The sequence below is a fragment of the Homo sapiens genome, chromosome X, assembly GCF_000001405.40.
Source record: "Homo sapiens chromosome X, GRCh38.p14 Primary Assembly".
NCBI classification, from domain to species: domain Eukaryota; kingdom Metazoa; phylum Chordata; class Mammalia; order Primates; family Hominidae; genus Homo; species Homo sapiens.
This window is the reverse complement of record NC_000023.11, coordinates 115907383-115934101: the sequence shown is the minus strand read 5'-3', so window position 1 is coordinate 115934101 and position 26719 is coordinate 115907383. Positions and strand designations below refer to the sequence as shown.

General features: G+C 38.3%; 1 long non-coding RNA gene across 2 annotated transcripts in view, besides 1 other annotated feature; it reads left to right on the top strand.

Moving 5' to 3' along the window:
• DANT2 (DXZ4 associated non-coding transcript 2, distal) overlaps positions 1-26719 on the top strand; it is a 128716-nt gene that overhangs the window by 35010 nt on the left and 66987 nt on the right. The window contains exon 3 of one of the 2 annotated variants that reach the window (NR_130730.1): positions 14953-16831. The exons of the other annotated variant lie outside the window; for it this stretch is intronic. This is a non-coding gene — a long non-coding RNA (DXZ4 associated non-coding transcript 2, distal). Of the gene's footprint in view, positions 1-14952; positions 16832-26719 lie in introns of those variants that run through there. 2 annotated transcript variants of the gene reach the window in all.
• Positions 20291-20350: an enhancer, noted in NCBI's record as "active region_29866". NCBI's record gives its function as "activates an Ori minimal core promoter by ATAC-STARR-seq in GM12878 lymphoblastoid cells {active_cell/tissue: GM12878}" and the evidence as "EXISTENCE:reporter gene assay evidence [ECO:0000049][PMID:35858748]".

The following is a 26719-nucleotide window of genomic DNA, read 5'->3' as shown; positions in this document are numbered from 1 at the left end:
GAAAAAAGAAATAAAAAACAATGAAGAACACTTACAGGATCTAGAAAATAGGTGGAAAAAAGCAAATCTAAAAGTTATTGGCCTTAAAGAGGAGGTAGAGAAAGATATAGGGGTAGAACATTTATTCAAAGAGATAATAACAGAGAATTCTCAAACCTAGAAAAAGATAGTAATGTCCAAGTACAAGAAGATTATACAACACCAAGCAGATTTAACCCAAAGAAGACCACCTCAAGGAATTTAATAATCCAGCTCCCAAGAAACAAGGATAAAGAAATTATCATGAAAACAGCAAGAGAAGAGAAACAAATAACATATAATGGATCTCCAGCACATCTGGCAGCAAACTTTTCGGTGGAAATTTCACAGGCCAAGAGAGTGGTATGGCATATTTAAAGTGCTGAAGGAAAGAGACTTTTACCCTAGAATAATATATCCAGCAAAAATAATCTTAAGACATGAAGGAGAAATGAAGACATTCCCAGACAAACAAACACTGAGACATTTTATTAACACTAGACCTGTACTACAAGAAATGCTAAAGAAAGTACATCAATCAGAAATAAAAGGATGTTAGTGAGCAACTAATAATCACCTGAAGGTAAAAAAAAAAAAATCACTGTAATAGTAAGTATAAATAAAAACACAGAATATTATAAGACTGTAACTGATGTGTCAACTACTCATTCTAAGTATGAAGGTGAAATGATGAACCAATCAAAAAGTTAACTATACACTGCACACTATATTAATGTGTTATCAGATAAAATAATGGGTTTTTAAAAAGTATTTGCAAGCCTCATAGTAACCTCAAACCAAAATGCATACAATGGAGACACAAGAAATTAAAAGCAAGAAACTAAATCATATCATCAGAGAAAATCATCTCACTAAAGGAAGACAGGGAGGAAAAAGAAGGAAAACAGACCACAAAAACCCAGAAAACAAATAATAAAATGGCAGGAGTAAATTCTTAATTACCAATAATACCACTGAATATAATGGATTCAACTATTTAATCAAAAGTCATAGAGTGGCTAGATGAATTTTAAAAGCAAACCCATTGACTTGTTTCCTACAAGAAACACACTTCCCCTATAAAGACACGTGTACACTGAAAATAAAAGGATGGAAGAATATATCCCATGTCAAGGGAAACCAAACAAGAGCAAAAGTTGCTGCACTGATATCAGACAAAATATATTTCTAGACAAAAACTGTAACAAGAGACAAGGTCGCTATATAATGATAAAAGGGTCAATTTAGCAAGAATATATAACAATTTTAAGTATATGTGCAGTCAACCCTGGAGCACCCAGATATATGAAGCAAATATTATTAGAGGTAAAGAAAGAGATAGACCCTAATACAATAATAGCTGGAGACTTCACCCCACTTTCAGCATTAGGCAAATCTTTTAGACAGATATTAACAAAAAAACTCAATCTGCACTATAGACCAAATGGATCTAATAGATATTTACAAAACTTTTCACCCAATGGCTATGGAATATAAACTCTTCAGCACATAGATCGTTCTCAAGGATAGACCATATGTTAGGTCATAAATCAAGTTTTAAAATATTCAAAAAATGGAAATAATATCAAACATCTACTCTGACCACAATGGGATAAAACTAGAAATCAATAACAAGGAATTCTGAAAACCATACAAATACATTAAAATTAAACAATATGCTTCTGAAGAATCAGTGGGTCAATGAAGAAACCGAAAAAAAGTTGAAGAATTCCTTGAAACAGATGATAATGAAGACACCATCTACCAAAACCTATGAAATACAGCAAAAGCAGTATTATGAAAGAAGTTTGTAGCTAAAAAAAAAAAAATCTAACAGTGTGCTTGAACTAGAAAAGCAAGAGTAAACCAAAACCAAAATCAGTAAATAAAGGAAATACTAAAGATGACAGCAGAAATAAATTTGAAATGAAGAAAACAATGCAAAAGATTAATGAAATAAAAAGTTTGCAGTTTGAGAAGTTAAACAAAATTGACCTTTAGCTGGACTAAGAAAAAGAGAAGATCCAAATAAATAAAATCAGAGATGAAAAGGGAGACATTATGACTACTACAGACATTAAAAGGATTACTAGTGGCTACTATGAGTAACTATACGCCAATAAATTGGAAAATCTAGAAGAAATGGACAATTTCCTAGACACATACAACCTTCCAATGTTAAACCAGTACGAAATCCAAAACCTGAACAGACCAATAACAAGTAGCAAGATGGAAGCCATAATAAAGTCCCTCAGTAAAGAAAAGCTTGGGACCTGATGACTTTACTGCAGAGCTGTACCAAACATTTAAAGAAGAATTAATACCAATCCTATTTAAACAATTCAAAAAAAAAAATGAGGAGGGGACACTTCCTAACTTATTCTACAAGACCAGTATTACATTGATAGCAAAACTAGACAAAGATACATCAAAAAAATTAAAAAAAAACACAAGCCAATATCTCTAATGAATATTGATGCGAAAATCCTCAGCAAACTACTAGCAAAGCAAATTCAACAATACATTAGAAAGCTCATTCATCACGACCAAGTGGGATTTATTCCAGGGATGCAAGGGTGATTCAACATATGCAAATCAATCATTGCGATGCATCATATCAACAGAAGAAAGGACAAAATCCATATGATCATTTCAATTGATGTCAAAATGATGTTTTCATCCCTTCATGATAAAAATCCTAAAAAAACTGAGGATAGAAGGATCATACCTCAACATAATACAAACCATATATGACAGACCCCAGCTAGTGTCATACTGAATGAGGAAAAACTGAAAGCCTTTCCTCTAGGACCTGGAACACAACAGGGATGCCCACTATCACCACTGTTATTCGACATAGTACTGAAAGACTTAGATAGAGCAATCAGACAAGAGAGAGAAATAAAGGGCATCCAAATTGGAAAGGAAGAAGTCAGATTATCCTTGTTTGCAGATGATATTATCTTTTATTTGGAAAAACCTGAAGACTCTTAGCCAGGCATAGTGACATGTGCCTGTAGTCCCAGCTACATGAGAGCCTGAGACAGAAGGATCATATGAGCCCAGGAGGTCGAGGCTACAGTGAGCTGAGATCCTGTCACTGCATTCCAGCCTGGGCAACAGAATGAGACCTTATCTCAAAAAAGGAAAAAAAATGAAAAAAAGGAAAAACTCCACAAAAGAAATTAGAACTTATAAACAAATTCAGTAAAGTTGCAGGATACAAAATTAACATCCAGAAGTCAGTAGCATTTCTTTATGCCAATGTGAACAATCTAAAAAAGAAGTAATCTTATTTATAATAGCCACAAATAAAATTAAATACCTAGGAATTAATTTAAAGCAATCAACAATCTCTGTAATGAGAATTATAAAACACTGATGAAAGAAATTGAAAAGGACACCAGAAAATGGATAGTCTATGTTTATGAATTGGAAGAGTCAATATTGTGTAAAATTCCATACTACCCAAAGCAATCTACAGATTCAGTGCAATCCCTATCAAAATACCAATGTTATTTTTCAATGAAATAGATAAAACAATCTTAAAATTTCTATGTAACCACAAAAGACCCAGAATAGCCAAAGCTATCCTAGGCAAAAAGAACAAACCTGGAGAATTCATATTACCTGACTTCAAATTATACTACAGAGCTATACTAACCAAACCAGCTTAATGCTGGTATAAAAACAGACACAGACCAATGGAACAGAATAGAGAATCTAGAAACATTCACACTCCTATAGTGAACTCATTTTCAATAGAAGTGCCAAGAACATACGCTGAGGAAAAGACAGTCTCTTCTTTGATAAATGGTGCTGTAAAAACTGGATATCCATATGCACAAGAATGAAACTAGATCCCTATCTCTCATTGTATACAAAAATCAAAATGGATTAAAAACGTAAAGATCTCAAACTATGAAACTACTACCAGAAGTCATTGGGGAAAATCTCCAGGACATTGTTCTCAGCAAAAATTTCTTAAGTAATTCTCCACAACGACAGGCAACCAAAGCACAAATGGACAAATGGGATCTCATCAAGTTAAAAAGCTTCTGCACAGCCAAGGAAACAAACAAAAAATTGAAGAGAGAACCCACAGAATGAGAGAAAATATTTACAAGCTACCCATTTGACAAAGGATTAATAACCAGAATATATGAAAAGCTCCAACAACTCTATAGGAAAAAAATCCAATAACCTGACCAAAAAATGGGCAAAATATCTGAATAAACATTTCTTCGAAGAAGACATGCAAATGAAAAACATGAAAAGGTGTTCAACATCATTGATCATTAGAGAAATGCAAATCAAAACTTTAGTGAGTTATCTCACCCCAGTTAAAATGGCTTATATTCAAAAGACAGGTAATAACAAGTGCTGGTGTAGATCTGGAGAAAATGGAACCATGTATACTGTTGGTGAGAAATTAATACAACCACTATGGAAAACAGTTTGGAGGTTCCTCAAAAAAACTGAAAATGGAGCTACCATATGATCCAGCAATTTCACTGCTGGGTATGTACCCTAAAGAAAGAAAATGAATATGTCAAAGAGATAGCTGCATTCCTGTGCTTGTTGCAGCACTGTTCACAATAGCCAAGATTTGGGAGCAACCTTAGTGTCTATCACCAGATGAATGGATAAACAAAATGGGGTACATATACAAAATGGAGTACTATTCAGCCATAAAAAAGAATGAGATCTAGTCATTTGCACCAACATGGAAGGAACTGGAGATCACTATTTGAAGTGAATAAGCAAAGCACAGAAAGACAAACATCACATGTTCTCACTTATTTGTGGGATCTAAAAATCAAAACAATTGAACTCATAGACATACAGAGTAGAAGAATGATTACCAGAGGGTAGGAAGGGCACTTGTTGGGTTGGGGAGGAAATTGCAATGGGTAATGAGTACAAAAGAAAAAAAATAGTATGATTAAGATCTAGTATTTGATTGCATAATCGGGCGACTGTAGTAAATAATAATTGACCATTTAAAAATAACTAAAAGGGTATAATTGGATTCTTTGCAACACAAAGGATAAATGCTTGAGAGGATGTATACATCCATTTTTATGATTTGCTCATTACACATTGCATGCTTGTATCAAAAGTTTTCATGTACCCCATAAATACATACACCTACTATGTACTACTCACAAAAATTAAAAATTAAAAATACCATTTTAAATAAAGAAGATAGCTTTTTGGGGGGCGGGGACAGGGTCTCACTCTCCATCTCTCACTCAGACTGCAATGGTGAGAACATGATTCATTGGGAAATAAACACAACTTCCTGGGCTCAAGGTGTCCTCCCACCTCAGCCTGCTGAGTAGCTGGGACCACAGGCACACAACACCATGCCTGGCTAATTTTTTTTTTTTTTTTTTTTTAATTTGAGACAAGATCTCACTATGTTGCCCAGGCTGGTCTTGAACTCCTGGGCTCAGGCAAACCTCCTGCCTTGGCCTCCCAAAGTGCTGGCATTACAGGCATGAGCCACTGCACCCAGCAGCAGTCTTACTTTCTTTAAACCAGAAACTAGGGATATTAAAGAGATCTCAGGAAAAAGTGGCAGGAACAGAATCTGTCTGTAGTGTACAAAATGGCTGTTAAACAGATTTTTGAATTAAACTTAAAACCTCTTGCAATTTTTAAAAGCGTGTATCAATACTTTAAGAAAACTTTGTTGTTTACACAGACTCTGGTCCTGTATCATGTCATCCCTGACAGCAACATTTAATTTTTAGAATATCGTATAAACAATTTCTTTTCAATCTCAGTGGACCCAGTCACACATGAAACTTTTTTCATGAGACCAGTGCTTTAGAAATCCTCTTCTACTTGTTTAGTTCTTTCACCACTTTTCAACCCCCACCCCCCAAGTCTTATTTCTGTAATTTTTCTTTTTAAAAAAATTATGGAACAACAATTTTAAATTAGGTAAAATTTTACCACATACAATTTTTTACACAAAATTATTTCCTTCTAAATTCATATTTTGATTAATAGACACAAATGTATTTAGTCTTTCCATAAAATTTAAAAAGCCAAGAATGAACTTATGTGTACTTAACAATTTGTTTCTGTTTTTTTCTTATTTGGATATGGCTCAGACATTTAATGAGTATTATTTAATTTAACATAACTTTAAGATTTTAAATTACATGAAAATTTATTTGTAAATGCTTACTCTGTTTGCAATTACCTAATTTATTTATTTTTTAACAATTATACCTTGATTACCTATGAAAATTGAGATACTAGACATAGCTAGTTATTAGGTTTTTATTAACGAATTTTATTGCCTGTTAATATCAGGAATTTCCCTAAGTAAGAACTTTAAGGTTAAATACATAGGTCAATAAGTCCTATTGTATAAATCCTGTCAATAAGTCAGGAGACACGGCTGATTTTATTAAAGCAACAATATTAAATTAATCTTATCAAAGGGTTAAAGATTATGTTGTTTTAGGCTTTATCACCTTATTACATTAAAAGATCTAGCAGAGGCATATATAAAACTGTGTGACCAGTAAACTCAAGTGAGAATGTATGTTGACACTTTTGAAGATATTTCTAATTTTATTTTTTCAACCATTTTTAAACCAATTTATCAAGATTTACTTGTGAACTAAAAAAAAAAAAAAAGTTGGGGTGCCAGGTGCCTATAATCCTAGCTACTTGGGAGGCTGTGGCAGAAAGAATTTCAAGGGCCCAGAATTTCAAGGTTGCAGTGAGCTATGATTATGCCACTGTACTCCATTCTAGGTGAAAGAGCAAGACTGTTTCTATAATTTTATTGAATGGGATAATTAGTATACTATTGATTTTATATGTGCACCCAATATATCTAAATAAAATATTTTGAGGGATGTCAAGCTAATTATACCAGATTTTATTATGTACATGTAACATATAACACAGTACATGTACATATGTGTAAACACATCTAAATGTATATATACACATATAAAAATACTTTCATATATATGCTCATATAAAAATACTTTCAACTTTCATTTTAGAATTTTGGTCATGAGATAGTAAAACATAGAGACTCACTGATTTTTTTTAAAAAATACATTTATCAGGCGCATATGCTATTTTGTTACATACATAGGTTGCATGGTGGTCAAGTCAGGGCTTTTAGGGTATTTGTCACCTAAATAATGTATGCTGTAGCCATTAAATAATTTCTCATCATTCTCCCTACTCCCACTCCCTCACCTTTCAAGTCTACATTATCTATCTATGTCCATTATCTGTCTATGTCCATGTGAACACATTTTGTAGCACCCACTTAGGAGTGATAACAGGTAATATTTGTCTTTCTGTGCCTGGCTCGTTTCACTTAAGATAATGATTTCCAGGATGAGTGTGGTGGCTTGTGCCTGTAATCCCAGGAATTTAGAAGGCCAACGCAGCCAGATTGCTTGATGCCAAAATTTCAAGACCAGGCTGCGCATAATTTCAAGACCTTCTCTTTACAAATAAAAATAAAAATAAATAGCTGGAGCTGTGGCATGAACCTGTAGTCCTGGCTAGTTGGAAGGCTGAGGAGGAGGGATTACTTCAGCCCAGGATTTCAAGGCTGCAGTGTGCTATAATTGTGCCAAGACACTCCAGCCTGGGTGACATAGCAAGACCTTTTGTCTAGAAGATAGCAAAGATAATGACCTTCAGTTTCATCTGTATGGCTGCAAAATACTTGATTGTATTCTTTTTTATGGTTGAATAGGATTCCATTATGTATATACACCACATTTTCTTACTCATTTATCTATTGATAGACACTTAGGTTGATTCCCCTTTGCTATGAATAGTGGTGTGATAAACATGCAAGAGCAAGTATGTTTTTGATATATTGATTTTTTTCCTTTCAGTAGATACCTAGCAGTGGTATTGCTGGATTGAATGATAGTTCTTTTAGTTCTTTGAAAAACCATACTGTTTTCCGTAAAGGCTGTACTAATATCCATTCCGAGCAACAGTATATGAGTTCTCTTTTCTCCATATCCTCACCAACATCTGCTCTTTTTTGTCTTTTTAATAATGGCCATTCTAGCTGGGGTAAAATGAAATATCATTGTGGTTTTGATTTGCATTTCCCTGATGATTAATGATGAGCATTTTTTCATATACCTGTTGGCCATTTGTATGTCTCTTTTGAAAAATGTCTGTTCATGTCTTTTGTCCCACATGGGATTATTTGATTTTATTGTTTGAGTTCCTTGTATATTCTGGATATTAGTCCTCTGTTGGATTGATAGTTTGAAAATATTTTCTCCCATATAACAGGTTGTCTCTTCTCTATGTTGATTGTTTCCTTTGCTGCGAAGAAGCTTTTTAGTTTAATTAAGTCCCATTTGTCTATTTTTTCTTCTGTTGCCTGTGCTTTTGAGTTCTTAATCATTAATTTGGTGCCTAGATCAATGTCCAGAAGAGTTTACTCTAGGTTTCCTTCTAACATTTTTAAAGTATTGGGTCTTACATGTAAGTTTTAATCCATCTTGAGATGGTTTTTGTATGTGGTGAGAGATAAGGATTCAGTTTCATTTTTCTGCAATAGATATTCAATTTTTAAGCCATTTATTAAAGCGGGTCTTCTTTCCCCCACTGTATGTGTTGTTGGTTTTGTCAAAAATCAGTTGGCTGTAAATATGTGGCTTTATTTCTGGATTCACTATTCTTTTATATTAATCTGTATACTATTTTTATATCACTATCATGTTATTTTGCTTACTAGAGCGTTGTAATATTATTTGAAGGCAAATAAAGTGATGCTTCCAGCTGTGATCTTTTTGCTTAAGATTGCTTTGGTTACTTGGGCTTTGTTTTGGTTCCATATGAATCTTATGGTTGTTTTTTCTAATTCTGTGAAAAGCGACACTGGTATTTTGATGGGAATTGCATTGAATCTGTAGATTAGGCAGTTATGGTCATTCTATTAGTCTGTTCTCACACTGCTATAAAGAACTACCTGAGACTGTAATTTACAAAGAAAAGAGGTTTAAAAACTCACAGTTCCACTTTGCAGGAAGCATGAATGGGAGGCCTCAGTAACAATCATGCCAGAAGGTGAAGGGGAAGCAAGCACGTCTTTACCGTGGTGGAACAAGAGCAAGCAAGGGGGAAATGCCACACACTTTTAAACCATCAGATCTCCTGAGAACTCACAGTCACAAGAACAGCATGGGGGAAATCCACCCCCCTGATCCAATTACCTCCCACAAGGTCCCTCCCCCAACATTGGGAATTACAATTCAACATGAGATTTGGTTGGGGACATGGAACCAAACCATATGAGTCACTTTATTTATATTAATTATTTCAATTTATGAACATGTGATATTCTTCCATTTGTTTGTGTCATCTACAATTTATTCCAGCAGTGTTTTGTAATTTTCCTTGTAGAAATCTTTCACCTCCTTGTAGAAATCTTTCACCTCCTTGGTTAAATTTATTGCTAGGGTTTTTTTTGTAGCTATTGTAAATGGGATTGCCTTCTTGATTTCTTTCTTTGCAAGGTCATTATTGGTATATAGAAACACTACTGATATTTGTACAATAATATTTTTGTATTCTTCAACTTTATTGAATTCGTTCATCAAATCAGAGTTCTTTGGCGGAGTCTAGGTTTTTCTAGATATATGATTCTATCATCAGCAAACAGGGATAATTAAACTTCCTCTTTTTAAATTTGGATTCCTTTTATTTATTTTTCTTTCCTGATTGCTCTGGCTAGGACATACCCTAATACATTAAATGAGAGTGGAAAAATTTGGCATCCTTGTGTTGTTTCTGTTTTAGAGAAAATCCTTTCCAAGATTCCCCCAATTACTATGATGTTAAGGGAGGAGACCACCCCTCATATTGTCTTATGCCCAATTTCTGCCTCCAAAGAAAGAAGTAGTAAAAAGTAAAAGGCAGAAATGAAATCCACAAGCGGACAGCCTGGCGCCACACCCTAGGCCTGGTAGTTAAAGCTTGACCCCTGACCTAATCGGTTATTTGCATAAGAAAAGCACTGTAAAGATCCCTGTCCTGTTCTGTTCCATTCTAATTACCAGTGCATCCAGCCCCCAGCCACATACCCCCTGCTTGCTCAATTGATCACGACCCTCTCACAGGGACCCCCTTAGAGTTGTGAGCCCTTAAAAAGGACAGGAATTGCTCACTAGAGGAGCTCAGTTGTTGGAGATGTGAGTCTTCCCGAAGCTCCTGGCCGAATAAAGCCCTTCCTTCTTTAACTCAGTGTCTGAGGGGTTTTGTCTGTGGCTTGTCCTGCTACATTTCTTGGTTCCCTGACCAGGAAGTGAGGTGATTAACAGACGGTCGAGGCAGCCCCTTAGGCAGTTTAGGCCTACCCCATGGAGCATCTCTGTGGGGGACTCCGGCCAGCTTGAGCAACGCAGATCCTGAGAGTGCTCCTGGGTAGGCAATTGTCCCAGTGGAACGCCTCACCAGAGCAGTGCGTGGCAGGCCCCTGTGGAGGATCAACGCAGTGGCTGAACGCCGGGAAGGAACTGGCACTTGGAGTCCAGACATCTGAAACTTGGTAAGACTAGTCTTTGGAAATTGCCTACTCCATTTGAGTGGAAGCGTGGCCTGATCACCCATGGCATGCCTGTACTGGCAGTTTGGTTTTTTGTTTTTGACTTGACTTGGATTGCTTGATACTTTGGTTTTGGTTTTGACCTGGCTTGGATTTCTTGATACTCTGATTTTGGTTTTGATTCTGGTTTGGTGTAAACTGTAAAAGTGTGTGTGTGCCCTTTTTACCCGTTCTTTTTGTGGTGTGCGTGCGGTGTGAGCGTGGTGTTTTGTCTTGAGGAAGCATGGGTCAGGCACAAAGTAAGCCCACCCCACTAGGAACTATGTTGAAAAATTTCAAGAAAGGATTTAAGGGAGATTACGGTGTTACTATGACACCAGGAAAACTTAGGACTTTGTGTGAAATAGACTGGCCAGCATTAGAGGTGGGTTGGCCATCAGAAGGAAGCATGGACTGGTCCCTTGTTTCAAAGGTATGGCACAAGGTAACCTGTAAGCCAGGGTGCCCAGACCAGTTCCCGTACATAGACACTTGGTTACAGCTGGTTTTAGACCCCCTCCCTACCCCCACGGTGGTTGAGAGAACAGCAGCATAAGCAGCTGGCAGAGGCAAGGAAAGACCAGCAAAGAGACAGAGAAGAAAGAGACAGGAAAAGAGGCAAAGAGAGAGAAGAAGAGAGAGAGGAAGAGACAGAGAGACAAAGAGGGAGTCAAGGAGAAAGAGAGAGAGAGGAAGAGACAGAGGCAAAAGGAAAGTCAAAAAGAGAGACAATGTCAAAGACAGAGAAATATACAAGTAGTTAAAAAAAAGTGTGCCCTATTCCTTTAAAAGCCAGGGTAAATTTAAAACCTATAATTGATAATTGAAGGTATTCTCTGTAACCCTATAACACTCCAATACCACTTTGTTGTCAGTGTAAACAAGGGCATATCCCGAAAGCACAGAGGCCACTGATAACCCGTAGCCTTCCTATCAAAAATCTTTAACCCAGTAACCCACGAATGGCCCAGATGCATTCAGTCTGTAGCGGCAATGGCTTTGCTAACAGAAGAAAGTAAAAAAATAACTTTTAGAGGAAACCTCAGTGTGAGCATACCTCACCAGTTCAGAAGTATCCTAAGGAAAAAAAAAAAAAAAAAAAAGGATGTTTTAACATTAACCACGAAAAAAATCCCTTAACCCAGAAGTTTTCCTAACAGGGCATCTAAGTCTTAATTACCATACAAAGGTCCGACCAGACCAGAATTCCCTACAGGACAGGACCATCAATGGTTCCTCCCGGGTAATTGAAGGAAAAAAAAAAAAAAAGCCATCTATACCAATTCTAAGTTAATTTGGACAAAACAAGGTCTTATTAATAGCAAAGGATAATTAAAATCCCAAACTTGCAAGGTTTTCAACAAAAGTAAAGTTTGCTAAAAGCTAACATTGTAACATGTATTATAGTAAATTATAATCTTGTGGCCTTAGACAGTCTAGTCCACAGTCATAAAGCAAGTTCGCTTTGGAAAAGAATGGTTATCTCTGAAAAAAAAAAAAAGAAGAAAAGGAGGGGCAGAATTTATGTAAAAAAAGTGTTATATGGTAAATTCTTGTCCTGAAATAAATTAACTGGTTGTTTAAAGAAAGAAATGTTTGTAATAAGTCAGAAAGTTCAGGCATTGCTAAGAATTGTCTGCAAAAGTTGTGAAAGAGAAATATGTTATAAAAAAAAAGAATTTATGCAAGAAAAGTTGTATAATTTAAAAGTAACTAGGCCTCCTGAATGTAAAACTATTGAAATAAACAGTTTATGTGCAAGGTGTATAAGGAAAGTAAAATATAACTTTGGTAAAAGGATTATAAGGAGGCAAAAGAATGTAAGTTGTTACATACATTAAAAGGTTAAAAAAACTATTTTGAAGGTTTAAGCAAGTTTTAAAATGTTAATTGTAAAGGAAATTCTGTGTGTAAACATATTAGCCAAAGGTAAAGGGGTAACATCCAGTTTTTCTGTGAATTGGACATTAAAGTAAAAACACAATGGGTTTTTCTTAAAGCACTAACCTGCTCTTTAACAAAGATTATAAAAAGTGAGTCTATAAAAATCTTACCTGATGGTCCAACATGAAAAATTCAATAAATATGTATACAAAGTTTTATTAAAACTAAGTTTAACATTAATAACACACTAATATAAAGGTGAAATTTAGCTTATCTGGTATAAAAATCATACAGGAAGCATTGTCAAATATAAAATGGTATTTGGCTTCTTTGGTCTAAAAACTAATAAAAATAGGTGCTAAAGGAAATTTCTCAGTGGAAAGGCACCAAGAACTATAAAGTCCACTGCTGATGTCCCCACATTTAAAACAAAAGGTCAACTTCTTAGAAATTATATACTTGGTTTATCTTCCACTTTCCTTTCCCTCAAAACTAAAAGTCTTTTAGCACATGTACCACCCCTAGAATTTCCGGTAAACCAGCACCAGCCTATCCGCTCGGGGATGAACAAGGGCTGACTGATTGATAAGCTCTTGAAAATTCTTAAGCTCACTGCATCCCTTCAGGTCTCCAAGGAACGCTAAGTTTCTTCCCTGTTGTGAGAGACACGAAGTGAACTTAGTGTTGGGAGACGGAAGCTGGATGGCCCTCGGGGGCTGACCCGCAGGGTACCGGACTTTGGGATATAGCAGAGAGAGCTTGGCATGACTTACTACTCCAGGCTGTAGAATCCTGGATAAGAGCTACCATGCAGCCCACGTGTGGTCGACTGGAGGATCAGCTGCTTAGTGGAAAGAGGACAATCTGGGCCTCTGGCCTGCCATGTGCACAAGCATAACAATTGCTTTTGTTTAACGTGCAGATGGAATATTTGATCCATTCCAACCAGGCATTTGCATCTTGGTATCCTGTCTTAATTGCCAAAGTTTGTTTTAAGTCTTTAACTTCTATCATCCTCTAGTAAAATGAATGTATGATTTTAGGAAATTACAAAAACCGGTTGGGGCAGCCCATCCTTGCTCTTTAGTGGTCCACAGAATGTTGGACCAACTACGGCATAAAAGCTCTACATAGGGGAGCAAGACTCCTGGTTGACACTGGAGTCTTAATCAAAATTTCCCCAGATTAAATGGTCCTAATTTACTAATGCCCAGTCTGAGGAGAGTCAGGAGGGACAGAGGTACTTTTCTGAAGTAGAGAGCTGTCTTTGACTGGGCAAGTCCCCACAGGGTATAACAAGGCAAGCATTAAATGCAATAGTTTGAGGCAAAATTGACTTGGTTATGTTAATAACCAGATGGTCAGCAAAAGAGCGAGGTAAGAAGAAAGAGTAATAGAATAGATTAAGACTTAAATTTTTGTTAGCTTTAGTTTGGTAAGGTTTTCCCCTGGGACTATGGCCCATGACTCTGGAGGGGGTGGCACTTTCTTGACTTGGTTGTGATTAGTCCATCCTTTTTTCACTGTATGAACAGCAGTCTCGGTGTTTAGCAGCACAAGGTAGGGTCCTTCCTAGGCTGGATCGAGTTTCCTTTCTTTTCACCCTTTGATGAGAACGTGATCTTCAGGATGTGTGGTGGTATTGTGATTGTGTGTGGACCTTTACTGGGCACTCTGCCGAATAACTGGAGTGGCACTTGTACTTTAGTTCAATTGGCTATCCCTTTCACCCTGGCATTTCATCAACCAGAGGGAAGAAAAATAAGACATTGTAAAGCGAGAGAAGGCCCTTATGGGTTTTTTGACTCTCACGTCTATTTAGACACAATTGGAGTCCCACGGGGAATACCAGATCAATTTAAAGCTTGAAATCAAATAGCTGCAGGATTTGAGTCAATATTTTGGTGGGTGGCAGTTAATAAAAATGTAAATTGGATAAACTACATCTATTACAACCAACAGCAATGAGCTTTTCATGAGTTAAAAGAAAAACTCCTGTTGGCCCCAGCCCTGAGGCTACCCGACCTGACAAAAGCCTTTACACTCTATGTGTCAGAAAAAGAAAACACGGCAGTTGGAGTTTTAACCCAGACTGTGGGGCCCTGGCCAAGGCCAGTGGCCTATCTCTCAAAACAACTAGACGGGGTTTCCAAAGGCTGGCCCCCATGGCTAAGGGCCCTGGCAGCAATGGCCCTGTTAGCACAAGAAGCAGATAAACTAACCCTTGGGCAAAACCTGAATATAAAGACCCCCCCATGCTGTGGTAACTTTGATGAATACCAAAGGACATCATTGGCTAACAAATGCTAGATTAACCAAGTACCAAAGCTTGCTATGTGAAAATCCCCACATAACCATTGAAGTTTGCGACACCCTAAACCCTGCCACCTTGCTCCCGGTATCAGAGAGCCCAGTTGAATATCACTGTGTTGTATTGCACTCAGTTTATTCTAGTGGGCCCAACCTCTGAGACCATCCTTGAACATCAGTAGACTGTGAGTTGTACATGGGCGAGAGCAGCTTCGCCAACCCCTGCAAAGTGACTCTGAAGAAGATGACAATACCTGCTTCAGTCACACCCGGAAGCTGACTGGTCCACGCATGGCCAAAGCATGAGAAAACTCATTGCGGGACTCATTTTCCTTAAAATTTGGACTTATACCATAGGGACTTCAACTGACCTTCCTCAGACTGAAGACTATTCCCAGTATATACGTCAAGTCACTGAGGTAGGAAAAAAGTTGCTACAGTCCTATTATTTTATGGTTATTATAAGTATACCAGGACTCTAAAAAGAACTTGTTTGTATAATGCTATTCTATACAAGGTATGTAGCCCAGGAAATGACCAACCTGATGTGTGTTATGACCCATCTGAGCCTCCCATGACCACAGTTTTTAAGATTAAGGACTGAAACCTGGTGGGGGCTCATAAACGATATGAGTAAAGTGTTAGCCAAAACAAAAGAAAAAGGGGTGCCCAAACAAGTCACCTTGAAGTTTGATGCCTGTGTTGTCATTAATAGTAATAAGTTAGGAATAGGATGTGGTTCTCTTAATTAGGAAAAAGGCTATATGGCAAAAAAAAAAAAAAAGTACATTTGTCATAAATTAGGACTGTATGGAAATGAACGTGCATACTGGTCTTGTGTCATTTCGGCTACTTGGATAAAAAATGAAAAGGATCCCGTCCACCTTCAGAAAGGGAAAAGTGGCCCTTCCTGTACAAGTGGTCAGTGTAACCCCTTAGAACTAGTAATAACCAACCCCCTTGATCCTCACTGGAAAAAAGGGGAGCGTGTAACCCTAGGAATTGAGGGGGCTGGACTGGATCCTCGAGTAAATATCATGGCTTGAGGAGAAGTTTATAAACGCTCTCCTGAGCCAGTATCTCAACCCTTCTACGATTAACTGAATGTGTCAGTACCAGAAATTCCAGGAAAAACAAGAAATTTGTTTTTACAATTAGCTGAGCATGTAGCCTAGTCTCTCAGTTTCACTTCATGTTATGTATGTGGAGGAACTATAATGGGAGATCAATGGCCATGGGAAGCCTGAGAATTAGTACCTACAGACCCAGTTCCTGATGAATCCCCAGTTCAAAAGAATCACCCTGATAACTTCTGGGTCCTAAAAGCCTCAATTATTAGACAATACTGTATAGCAAGAGTGGGGAAGGACTTCAACCTTCCTGTGGGAAGACTCAACTGCCTTGAGCAAAAACTGTATAATATTACTACAAAAACAGCCACCTAGTGGAGTTCAAACCACACTAAGAAAAATCCATTTAGTAAATTCCCAAAGTTGCAAACCATGTGAACCCACCCAGAGTCCCACTGGGACTGGGCAGCCCCCACTGGATTATACTGGATATGTGGGCATAGAGCTTACACCAAATTACCCTACCAGTGGGCAGATAGTTGTGTTATTGGCACTATTAAACCATCTTTCTTCCTACTGCCCATAAAGACAGGCAAACTCCTGGGCTTCCCTGTCTATGCTTCCCACAAAAAGAGAAGCATAGCTATAGGAAATTGGAAAGATAATGAATGGCCCCCTGAGAGAATCATATAATATTATGGGCCCGCTACTTGGGCACAAGATGGCTCGCGGTGATATGGGACCCCCATTTACATGCTGAACTGAATCATACGGTTACAAGCTGTCTTAGAAATAATCACTAATAAGATCGGCAGAGCCTTGACTATTCTGACCCAGCAAGAAACTCAGATGAGAAATGCTGTCTATCAAAATAGATTGGCTCTCGACTACTTGCTAGCAGCTGAAGGAGGGGTCTGTGGGAAATTTAACCTTACTAATTGCTGTCTACACATAGATGATCAGGGGCAAGTAGTTGAAGGCATAGGGATATGACAAAACTGGCACATGTGCCCGTGCAAGTGTATCATGGATTTGATCCTGGAGCCATGTTTGGAAAATGGTTCCCAGTGCTAGGAGAGTTTAAAACTCTTATAATAAGAGTCATAATAGTAATAGGAACCTGCTTACTGCTCCCTTGTTTGCTACCTGTACTTCTTCAAATGATAAAATGCTTCATCACTACCTTAGTTCACCAAAATGCTTTAGCACAAGTGTACTATATGAATTACTATCAATCAGTCTTGCAAGAAGACATGGGTAGTGAGAATGAAAGTGAGAACTCCCACTATTGAGTGAGATTCTCAAAGGGGCAGAATAAGGGAGGAGACCACCCCTCATATTGTCTTATGCCCAATTTCTGCCTCCAAAGAAGTAAAAACTAAAAGGCAGAAATGAAATCCACAAGCAGACAGCCCGGTGCCACACCCTGGGCCTGGTAGTTAAAGATCGACCCCTGACCTAATTGGTTATTTGCATAAGAAAAGCACTGTAAAGATCCCTGTCCTGTTCTGTTCCCTTCTAATTACTGGTGCATGCAGCCCCCAGTCATGTAACCCCTGCTTGCTCAATCATGACCCTCTCACGCGGACCCCCTTAGAGTTGTGAGCCCTTAAAAGGGACAGGAATTGGTCACTCAGGGAGCTCTTGGAGTGAGCAATTCCTGTCCCTTTTAAGGACAGGAATTGTGTTGGAGATGTGAGTCTTGCCAAAGCTCCCGGCCGAATAAAGCCCTTCCTTAACTCGATGTCTGAGGGGTTTTGTCTGTGGCTTGTCCTGCTACAATGTTAGCTGTGAGTTTGTAGTATATGGCCTTTATTATTTTGAGGCATGTTCCTTCTGTGCTTAGTTCTTTGAGAGTTTTTATTATGAAGGGATGCTGAATTTTATGAAATGTTTTTTCTGGGTCTATTGAGATCGTCATGTGGGTTTTGTTCTTGATTCTCTTAATGCAAAGTATCGTATTTGTTGATTTGCATATGTTGAGTTGTCCTTGCATCTCTGGTATAAAACCTACTTGATTATGGTGTATTATCTTTTTCTGTGCCCTGTTTTGATTTAATAGTATTTATATGTATTTTTTTATTATACTTTAAGTTCTAGGGTACATGTGCACAACGTGCAGGTTTGTTACATATGTATACATGTGCTATGTTGGTGTGCTGCACCCATTAACTCATCATTTACATTAGGTGTATCTCCTAATGCTATCCCTCCCCCGTCCCCCCACCCCGTGACAGGCCCTGGTGTGTGATGTTCCCTGCCCTGTGTCCAAGTGTTCTCATTGTTCAATTCCCACCTATGAGTGAGAACATGCAGTGTTTGATTTTCTGTCCTTGCAATAGTTTGCTCAGACTGATGGTTTCCAGCTTCATCCATGTCCCTACAAAGGACATGAACTCATCATTTTTTATGGCTGCATAGTATTCCATGGTGTATATGTGCCACATTTTCTTAATCCAGTCTATCATTGATGGACATTTGGGTTGGTTCCAAGTCTTTGCTGTTGTGAATAGTGCTGCAATAAACATACGTGTGCATGTGTCTTTATAGCAGCATGACTTATAACCCTTTGGGTATATACCCAGTAATGGAATGGCTGGGACAAATGGTATTTCTAGTTCTAGATCCTTGAAGAATTGCCACACTGTCTTCCACAATGGTTAAATTAGTTTACAGTCCCACCAACAGTGTAAAAATGTTCCTATTTCTCCACATCCTCTCCAGCATCTGTTGTTTCCTGACTTTTTAATGATTGCCATTCTAACTGGTATGACATGATATCTCATTGTGGTTTTGATTTGCATTTCTCTGATGGCCAGTGATGATGAGCATTTTTTCATGTGTCTGTTGGCTGCATAAATGTCTTCTTTTGAGAAGTGTCTGTTCATATCCTTAGCCCACTTTTTGATGGGGCTGTTTGTTTTTTTCTTGTAAATTTGAGTTCTTTGTAGATTCTGGATATTAGCCCTTTGTCAGATGAGTAGATCACAAAAATTTTCTCCCATTCTGTAGGTTGCCTGTTCACTCTGCTAGTAGTCTCTTTTGCTGTGCAGAAGCTCTTTAGTTTAATTAGATCCCACTTGTCAATTTTGGCTTTTGTTGCCATTGCTTTTGGTGTTTTAGACATGAAGTCCTTGCCCATGCCTATGTCCTGAATGGTATTGCCTAGGTTTTCTTCTAGGGTTTATATGCTTTTAGGTCTAACATGTAAGTCTTTAATCCATCTTGAAATAATTTTTGTATAAGGCGTAAGGAAGGCATCCAGTTTCAGCTTTCTACATATGGCTAGCCAGTTTTCCCAGCACCATTTATTAAATAGGGAATCGTTTCCCCATTTCTTGTTTTTATCAGGTTTGTCAAAGATAAGATGGTTGTAGATGTGTGGTATTATTTCTGAGGGCTCTGTTCTGTCCCATTGGTCTATATCTCTGTTTTGGTACCAGTACCTTGCTGTTTTGGTTGCTGTAGCCTTGTAGTATAGTTTGAAGTCGGTTTAATAGTATTATTGTTGCAATTTTTGCATCTATGTCCATCAGGGTTATTGGTCTAGAGTTTTTCTTTTTTGTGTGCCCTTCTCTGATTTTGGTATTAGAGTGATACTGCCTCATAGAATGAGTTAGAGATAATTTTCGCCTCTTTGATTTTTTTGAATACTTTGAGGAGGATTAGCATTAGTTCTTTGTATGTTGGTAGAATTTGACTTTAAATTCATCTAGTCCTGGGCTTTTCCTGTTTGGAGGTTTTAAAAATTACTGATTCAATCTTGTTATTTGTTCTTATTTGGAGATAATTTTTTAAATTACTGATTCAGTTTTGCTATTTTTTATTGCTCTAATTAGGTTTTCTATTTTTTTCTTGTCTAATCTTGGGAAGTTGTATGTTTCCAGGAGTTTACCTGATTCCTCTAGGTTTCCTAATTTGTGAGCATATAGTTCTTCCTCATTATCTCTGATCATTTGTATTTCTGTTGGTCAGTTGTATTGTCATATTTCTCATTTCTGATTTTGTTTATTTGGGTCTTTTCTTGGTTAGTCTAGCTAGTGATTTTTAACTGTTTTTAATCTTTTGAAGAACCAACTTTTGTTGATTCATTGTATTGTTTTTAGTTTTCATTTTTTTTTAGTTCTGCTCTAATGTTTGTAATTTTTTTCTGCTGCTAATTTTCAGTTTGGTTCTTGCTTTTTTAGTTATTAGGGCATATTAGTAGATTGTTATTTTGTAATCTTTCTATCATAGGCATTTAATGACATGAGGTTTTGTTTTGTCATATTGTTAATTATTTTCTAGTTGTCTTATAAATTTTTTGTTTCTTTTTAGTCTTGGTGTTTGTCATTGTGGTTTGGTGGATGCTGCAGTGGTGCTCTTTGATTCCTTTCTCTTCCTCCTTTTTGTGATTACCAGTGAGTTTTATATTTTCTTGTGTTTTTATGGTGGTAAATGTCATCCTTTCACTTCTATTGTAGGACTCCCTTGAGCATTTCTTATGCTGTTAGTCTGATGGGAGTTCCTTATAGGTGAATAGATACTTTTCTTCTGCTAATTTTAGAATTCACTCTTTCACTTTGACTTAAGACATTCTTATTATAATGTGTTGTGACAAGGTTCTTTTTGTGTTGTATTTTCTTGGGGATTGCTGAGTCTCCTGTATCTGGATGTCTACAATTCCCACTAGAATTGGAAAGTTTTCATATATTATTTTGTTAAATTGGTTTTCTAACCTTTTTGATGGCTCTTCTCCCTCAGGGATACAAATAGTTTCTAAATTTAGCCTTTTTATGTTGTCCCAAGTGTTTCAAAGGTTTGTTTATTCTTTTAAATTCTTTTTTAATTTTTATCTTAGTGGATTGTTTTTAAAAGGCTGTCTTCAATTTCTAAAATTCTTCTACTTGGTCTAGTGTATTGTTGAAGCTATTGGATGTATTTTATATTTTCTTTAATAATTTCTGCAGTTCCTGAATTTTTTTTTAATCTTTTTGATAAGTTTCTCATTTGTATCCTGAATTGTTTTTTTTGGAGTTGTTTGCATTGGTTTTCCAATTTCTCTTGCATCTCATTGACCTTTAAAATTAATATTGTGAATTATTTATCCAAGATTTTGAGAATTGAGAATTTCTTTTTCGTTAAGAGCTATTGCTGGAGAATTGTTGTGTTCCTTTGAGGGTGTCATATTCCCTTGCTTTTTTATGTTTCCTGTATCATTACATTAATTTCTGGACATCTAGTGTAACAGTTGCTTTTTCCTATTTTTGAATTTACTTTCACTGGATGGGGGGATTTTTTTTTTTCTGAAGGTGTGTCAGTGGTGTTGATTAGGTGGGGCCTTTTAGCTTTGCTTCTGGATGTGTGCTGCAGGGAAGCCCCTGTGTGATTTCTTTGGCTATGAACAGCATTAGTGGTGTCTGTGGTTTCCTCAGTATGCTGAGGTGCAGTTATTAGTGGAGACTATGGTAAAGTGGTTATGGGGACTGGAGTGCCAGATGGGCTCATCTTCAGGCTTCAGAGGTAGCAGTGGTTGGCCAAGCATGTCTATCCTCATATCATGGTGTTACGTATGCTGGCACCTGTGTTAGTGGTTCCAAGTGAGCTGATTCATGGGCCTCTGCATGGCTTTCTCAGATGCTTATAGGCTCTCAAGTCCTTGGGCAGCCGCTGTGGTGTGGGTCATGGCAGTAGCAGTGGCAAGATGCTCTTCTGGGTCCCAAGAACTATGCACTTGTGCTGGCAATGGTTGCAATGGGCTATGCAGGCCAGCAGGTGGCATTTGCAGATGAGAAGCAGCAGAGGTAGAATCTGTAAGTTGGTTAGGCCCAACTTTAGGAGGAGTGCTCTGGTGTCCCACATAGTGGATTGGGCTGTACAATTTCCCAGGCTCTGGACCCCATACTCTGTCTTGGGAGGTGATTTGGCAAAGCCTGTTGGAGTTGAACCAGGAAATCTTGCTCTCAGGCCCTCCAATAACACGTGCATGCACCTGCTGTGATGGGCAGGGCAGTTTTTAGGTCCTAGCAGAATTCTTGGGTTAGGGACAGCAGCTGCCATGCTGAGGTCTTACCCTGGGGAAGATGAGGCTGGCTCCGGTGGCCATAGCCTTGGCCAGTGAATGGGGGATGTGTATCCCTCTCATGCCCCCATCCCACCAGAGCTTGCTCCCCAGTTCCAGCTGTTGCAGCTAATCCAGCTGATCCATCACACCTCACAGTCTGTACCCAGCCCACAATTCAGCCCCAGGCTGTAGGAGCCCCTGTCCAGCTCTATACCAAGACTTCATGGTAACTTGCTTCTCGCTGCAAGGTTACAATACCCATTTCCCCCATGCCCAATGTGAAAGGCAGCAGCCTACCCCACCCTTGCTTCTTAGTCCTAGCTATAGGAGCCCACCCTCTGCTTGTGCCCCAACTCTAATAAACAGCTCAACTTTCCATGCCTAGGACTAGTGCCACTGGTTTTCATGACAGTACCTGAAAACAGATCCTAGTCTAGTAAAAGCTAGGATTGAAAATGGCATTTTTTTCTGCAGCTGCTTAGATTTTTAAAAGGGTGTGAGACCCAGGGTAAGCTCCCTCCCTGCAGTGTTTTGTTTTTTTTTTTCTCACAGTCTCCCAGGGGTTCCCAAGTTACATGTAGTGCTTCAGAGTGCTGTTTGGTAGTTTGGATTGTATGATTCCCCAGTGGGAAAGTGGGCCATAGTAAGACTCTCCCTCACCCTCTCCCCATACTGGGGAGTCACTGTCCATTTCCAGCCAGCCTTGGGCCAGCAGGGTGCCTGTTTTGTGTTTTTGGTTGTTGTTTTTTTTTTTTTCTTCTTCTTCCTACTTTTTGGTTTTTCCTGTTACTTTTCTGTGGAACTTTCATGTTCCTTCTGAATAATGTATTCAAGGTGTGATTGTCTATACCCTTGTAGTTCTAAGTGAATGAGGCATGCTGAAAATGCTTTTAGTCAACCATCTTGAAAAAACAACAAACAAAAACAAGCCAAACTCACAGATTTATAAGACAGTTGGATCTCAATTTTTTTTAATGAGATAAGGCTAAACTTAAATTTATAATAGGTAATCTTTGATATAGTTTGTATATTTATGGCCATCCAAATATGTTGAATTGTAATCCCCAATTCTGGAGGTGGATCCTGGTGGGAGGTGTTTGGGTCACGGGTAAATCCCTCATGGCTTGGTGCTGTCATCATGATATTGAGTTCCCATGAGATCTGGTCTTCATTTAAAAGTGTGTGGCACCTCCCCACATTTTGCTGTCAGCATGTGATGTGCTTGCTTCCCCTTTGCCTTCTGTCATGATTGTAAGCTTCCTGAGGCCTCTCCAAAGGCCAAGCAGATGCCAGCACCATGCTTTCTATAAAGACTGCAGAACTATGAGCCATTTAAGCCTTTTTTCTTTATAAATTGCCCAGTCTAGCTATTTCTTTATAGCAGTACAAGAATAGCCTAATACACTTGTAAAGGCTGTGAACCAACTTGTGAGTAAAACAGTTTAATTCAGCTAGATTTCACAAAGAATACTTAACTGTTAAAATGTGACCCAATTATATGAGGAGGCCTAAAAGGTGAGAGTTATTCTAACAAAGCCTTTAGGGTATTTTCTTGGACTTCACTATTTTTTCTTGAAGATAAGAATGTTGCCATTCCTTTTCACATAGGGCTGGTGTCTTTTACATGAAAAATTTATATTTTACATTTAAGAAACAGCATCAAGGTCAAAATTTTTTTCTTTCATTTTTGCTGGTTTTTAAGTGATTTTTACTTAACTAGTATATCAGAATCGCTGAAAAGTTGCAGAAAAAAAAGAGTTTAGCTTAGAGAAGGATAAAAAGGAGGAATTATAAGATGGGGAGAGGAAAGCCCCAGGAGCAGACTGTTTCAGTTAGCTTTGAGAAAGATTGCCTTGCCAGAAAATATTACTATTAGTCCTGAATTGTTTTGTTGTTTTTTTTTAAGCCTCAACATATCAATTGAGATAAGAGTTTAATTTGGAGTATAAATTTTATGGACACAATCTTTCACTTTAGTTTTAAGAACAACAGATTAAATGATCCCTATAGCATTTTAACATGTTATCAGCTGGACTCCCAGAAAATATTGTGGCATGGCTTTGAACTTTGAGAGCTCATTTTTAACTAAATATGCCTTGATGATTTGGTTTACTGCCAAATACACAAAAGCCAGTTAAATGCAAGTGCTGAATATGCAAAGGCCAAATAAATGAAAGTGCCAATGGAAAATATAGTACTTACTTACCAGGAAGGACAGTAAGCCTTCTCCATATGAAGGGGTAAATCCCCTAAACCAAACCTTGAAACCAAGCGTCCAGCTGAGGTTCAAATTTCCAGCTGAGGTCAACAGGAGGAAACTAACCTTTCTCCACAGGAAATCTCCTAGCCAGGAGGAGAAAGATCTCTCTTCAAACAAGAGGGGGAAAGACCCCTCCTCAGTCAAATCCAAAACAAAACAGAGCTCAATCAAAATCAAGACTTTGTTCCAAAACAGACTCATGAAGGGAGGCAGATCATGAATGTGGGGTGGGGAGCTTACTGGGCCCCAGTGTGAGTACCTCATACCTTAGATCCAAGGGCTGGTGATTCTCCCCAAGGTGAGTCACCTTTGGAATCCTGCTTCTGGCACCAAGTGTGTTGAAGTAAAAAATGTAGAGGCAAATCTCTAAATGTAATCTTTTATTTGGGAAACAAGAATTACAATTTGGGGTGTACTCACAGACTAGGTAGACTTTGGTATTTTCAAAGAGCAGACAAAAGTTGGAGGTTTTAGAAAAAGGTGAAATGTTATGTATTGTTTTCCAGAAAGTTTATTAGCACCAGCAAAGTTTCAAAGAGCTGGCAAGCTTTGATGGGTGAGTGACGGCCATGTGTAAAACAAGTCTTAGAGTTGAGCAGATTGTTTCAGTAGCTATTAGAAAAAACTGTTTTCAGGTTACAGCTGGTCATTACAGAGGTCAGGATTGCAAAAAAATCACATCGTTGAAGCAATGTTATATGCCCTAAGTGGCTTTGCCCCTGGTCGCTTGCCTCTGTTTTAGTTGCGTATGACAAGATGACCCAATTTGTATGATCAGCTTTACAACTGGGAGGATAATACCCTGGCTTACCTCCAAGGTTCTCAGGTAGGCACTCCTGATCCAGATTGGTGTTCCATGTGTCAGAAAAGTGGGCCCAGTGGCTCCACACAGACAGGTGATCTTGGTGGGGACCTTTGGTTCTGCAGCCCCTTCGAGGAAGCTCTACCTGAAAGTGTGGCTCTTCTCTCCCTGGAGCACCCCCACATTCACTTGTTTCTGCATTCATACATCCATGTATGCATGCCAACACACATGCTTCTACTTTCTTCCTTAATTGTGTATGTGAATCTGTGTGTTTTCTTCTTTTTGTCTTCCTTTCTCCCATAACCACCTTGGAGATGCCACTGTGGATAGAGATTCCTCCCAATTAAGTGGTAGCCCTTAACACTGCATGATGGACACTCCCAGGTTTCCCCTCTGCCTTCTATTCATCCTCCTGACTCTGCCTACAGTGAGAATTAGATGTGATTTTTCCTTGTGTGTTTTTAGTGTCCAGTGTGAATGAAGGCAAATGCAGAGGTATGTGTGCTTTGACACCAAGAAGCTTACATGTGATAGACTTTCTTATACTTTGTAGCTTTCACAAAACACATCTCCTGGACTTTGCCTCTCTGTTCAGAGTCAACATACTCCCAGATTCTTTTCATTTCCTAATAACTGCTCAGTTGCCCATGTGTCTTCCTGGAGGTGGCAAGAACATCATTTATTTACCATGTCCCTTCTCTTTGAACATGAGGGTTCTTCCTTTTTCCCCCCTACTGTTTTCTTGAAACAGAAGTAGCTTTGAGGCTATGTAAAGACCTACTTTCTGTAGGAGGTGTGTGAGTGAGAGAGAGAGACAAGTGCATCATATGGTATTAATGTCCACCCAGAAGAAAGTGACTTGGTAGATTAAAAGGTAGCCACATCCAAGAATGATTTGTCCTTATGCCCAGAACATCAATATGGCATAGCTGTGTGCAGCCAGAATGGAGGTACCTGGTTCTCATTTTTCCACCAGCCAGATGAGCTACAGGTCACTAGAGGATCTATTATTCTATTCATGTTGGAGAAAACAGCCTTGTGAACATACTTGGAAATTTATTCTTCCATACTCATATAAGTAAAGTAACCAGGAAAGAAATACTGTGAGGGGAGACGCCAAGGTGAGAAAGTCAGGGTACCCACAGAAAGGAGAACTGAGGGACAGATATCCTCTGGTTTTATACAAGACAATTCCAGGAGAGCTGCCTCTTTATGACAGCCTCGAGTAGCATTTGTGTGATTTCCAGATGAGTAGAGTTGATTTTCATGATATGCTTTCTCCATAGATGACAGGACACTAGAGAGCTGATATCCTAGCCTAAAAGCCCTCACCCAGTTGCTTTCATGGGGTATATGTACACTGCTATGTTTTGAATGTCACTTTAGCAGTCCATCCCACATACAGTGAAGGACAGTTGGCTATCTTGTTTCAGGGAACACAGAATAGACAGAAAGAGAGGAAAACTGCAAGCCTGGGTTGTCTGTAGGTGCTGGGGTTATGGGCAAGTGGTTTTTTTTTCTTCTTCTTTTTGAAGAGTCTGTTTTATGTTATAAGTGGGGCAGTGGTTCTGGGATTTCAGCACTCCTCCAAGAGAGACTACTAGGGCATGTAGATAGCTGGCATGGGGCATTTGTATCCTCTTCTATAGCTTTCTACCATGCTTGGTAGGAAAGGCTCATGAGTAAAGTCTTGATGGTGGGCTCAAAGTAGGGAAGCATCTGA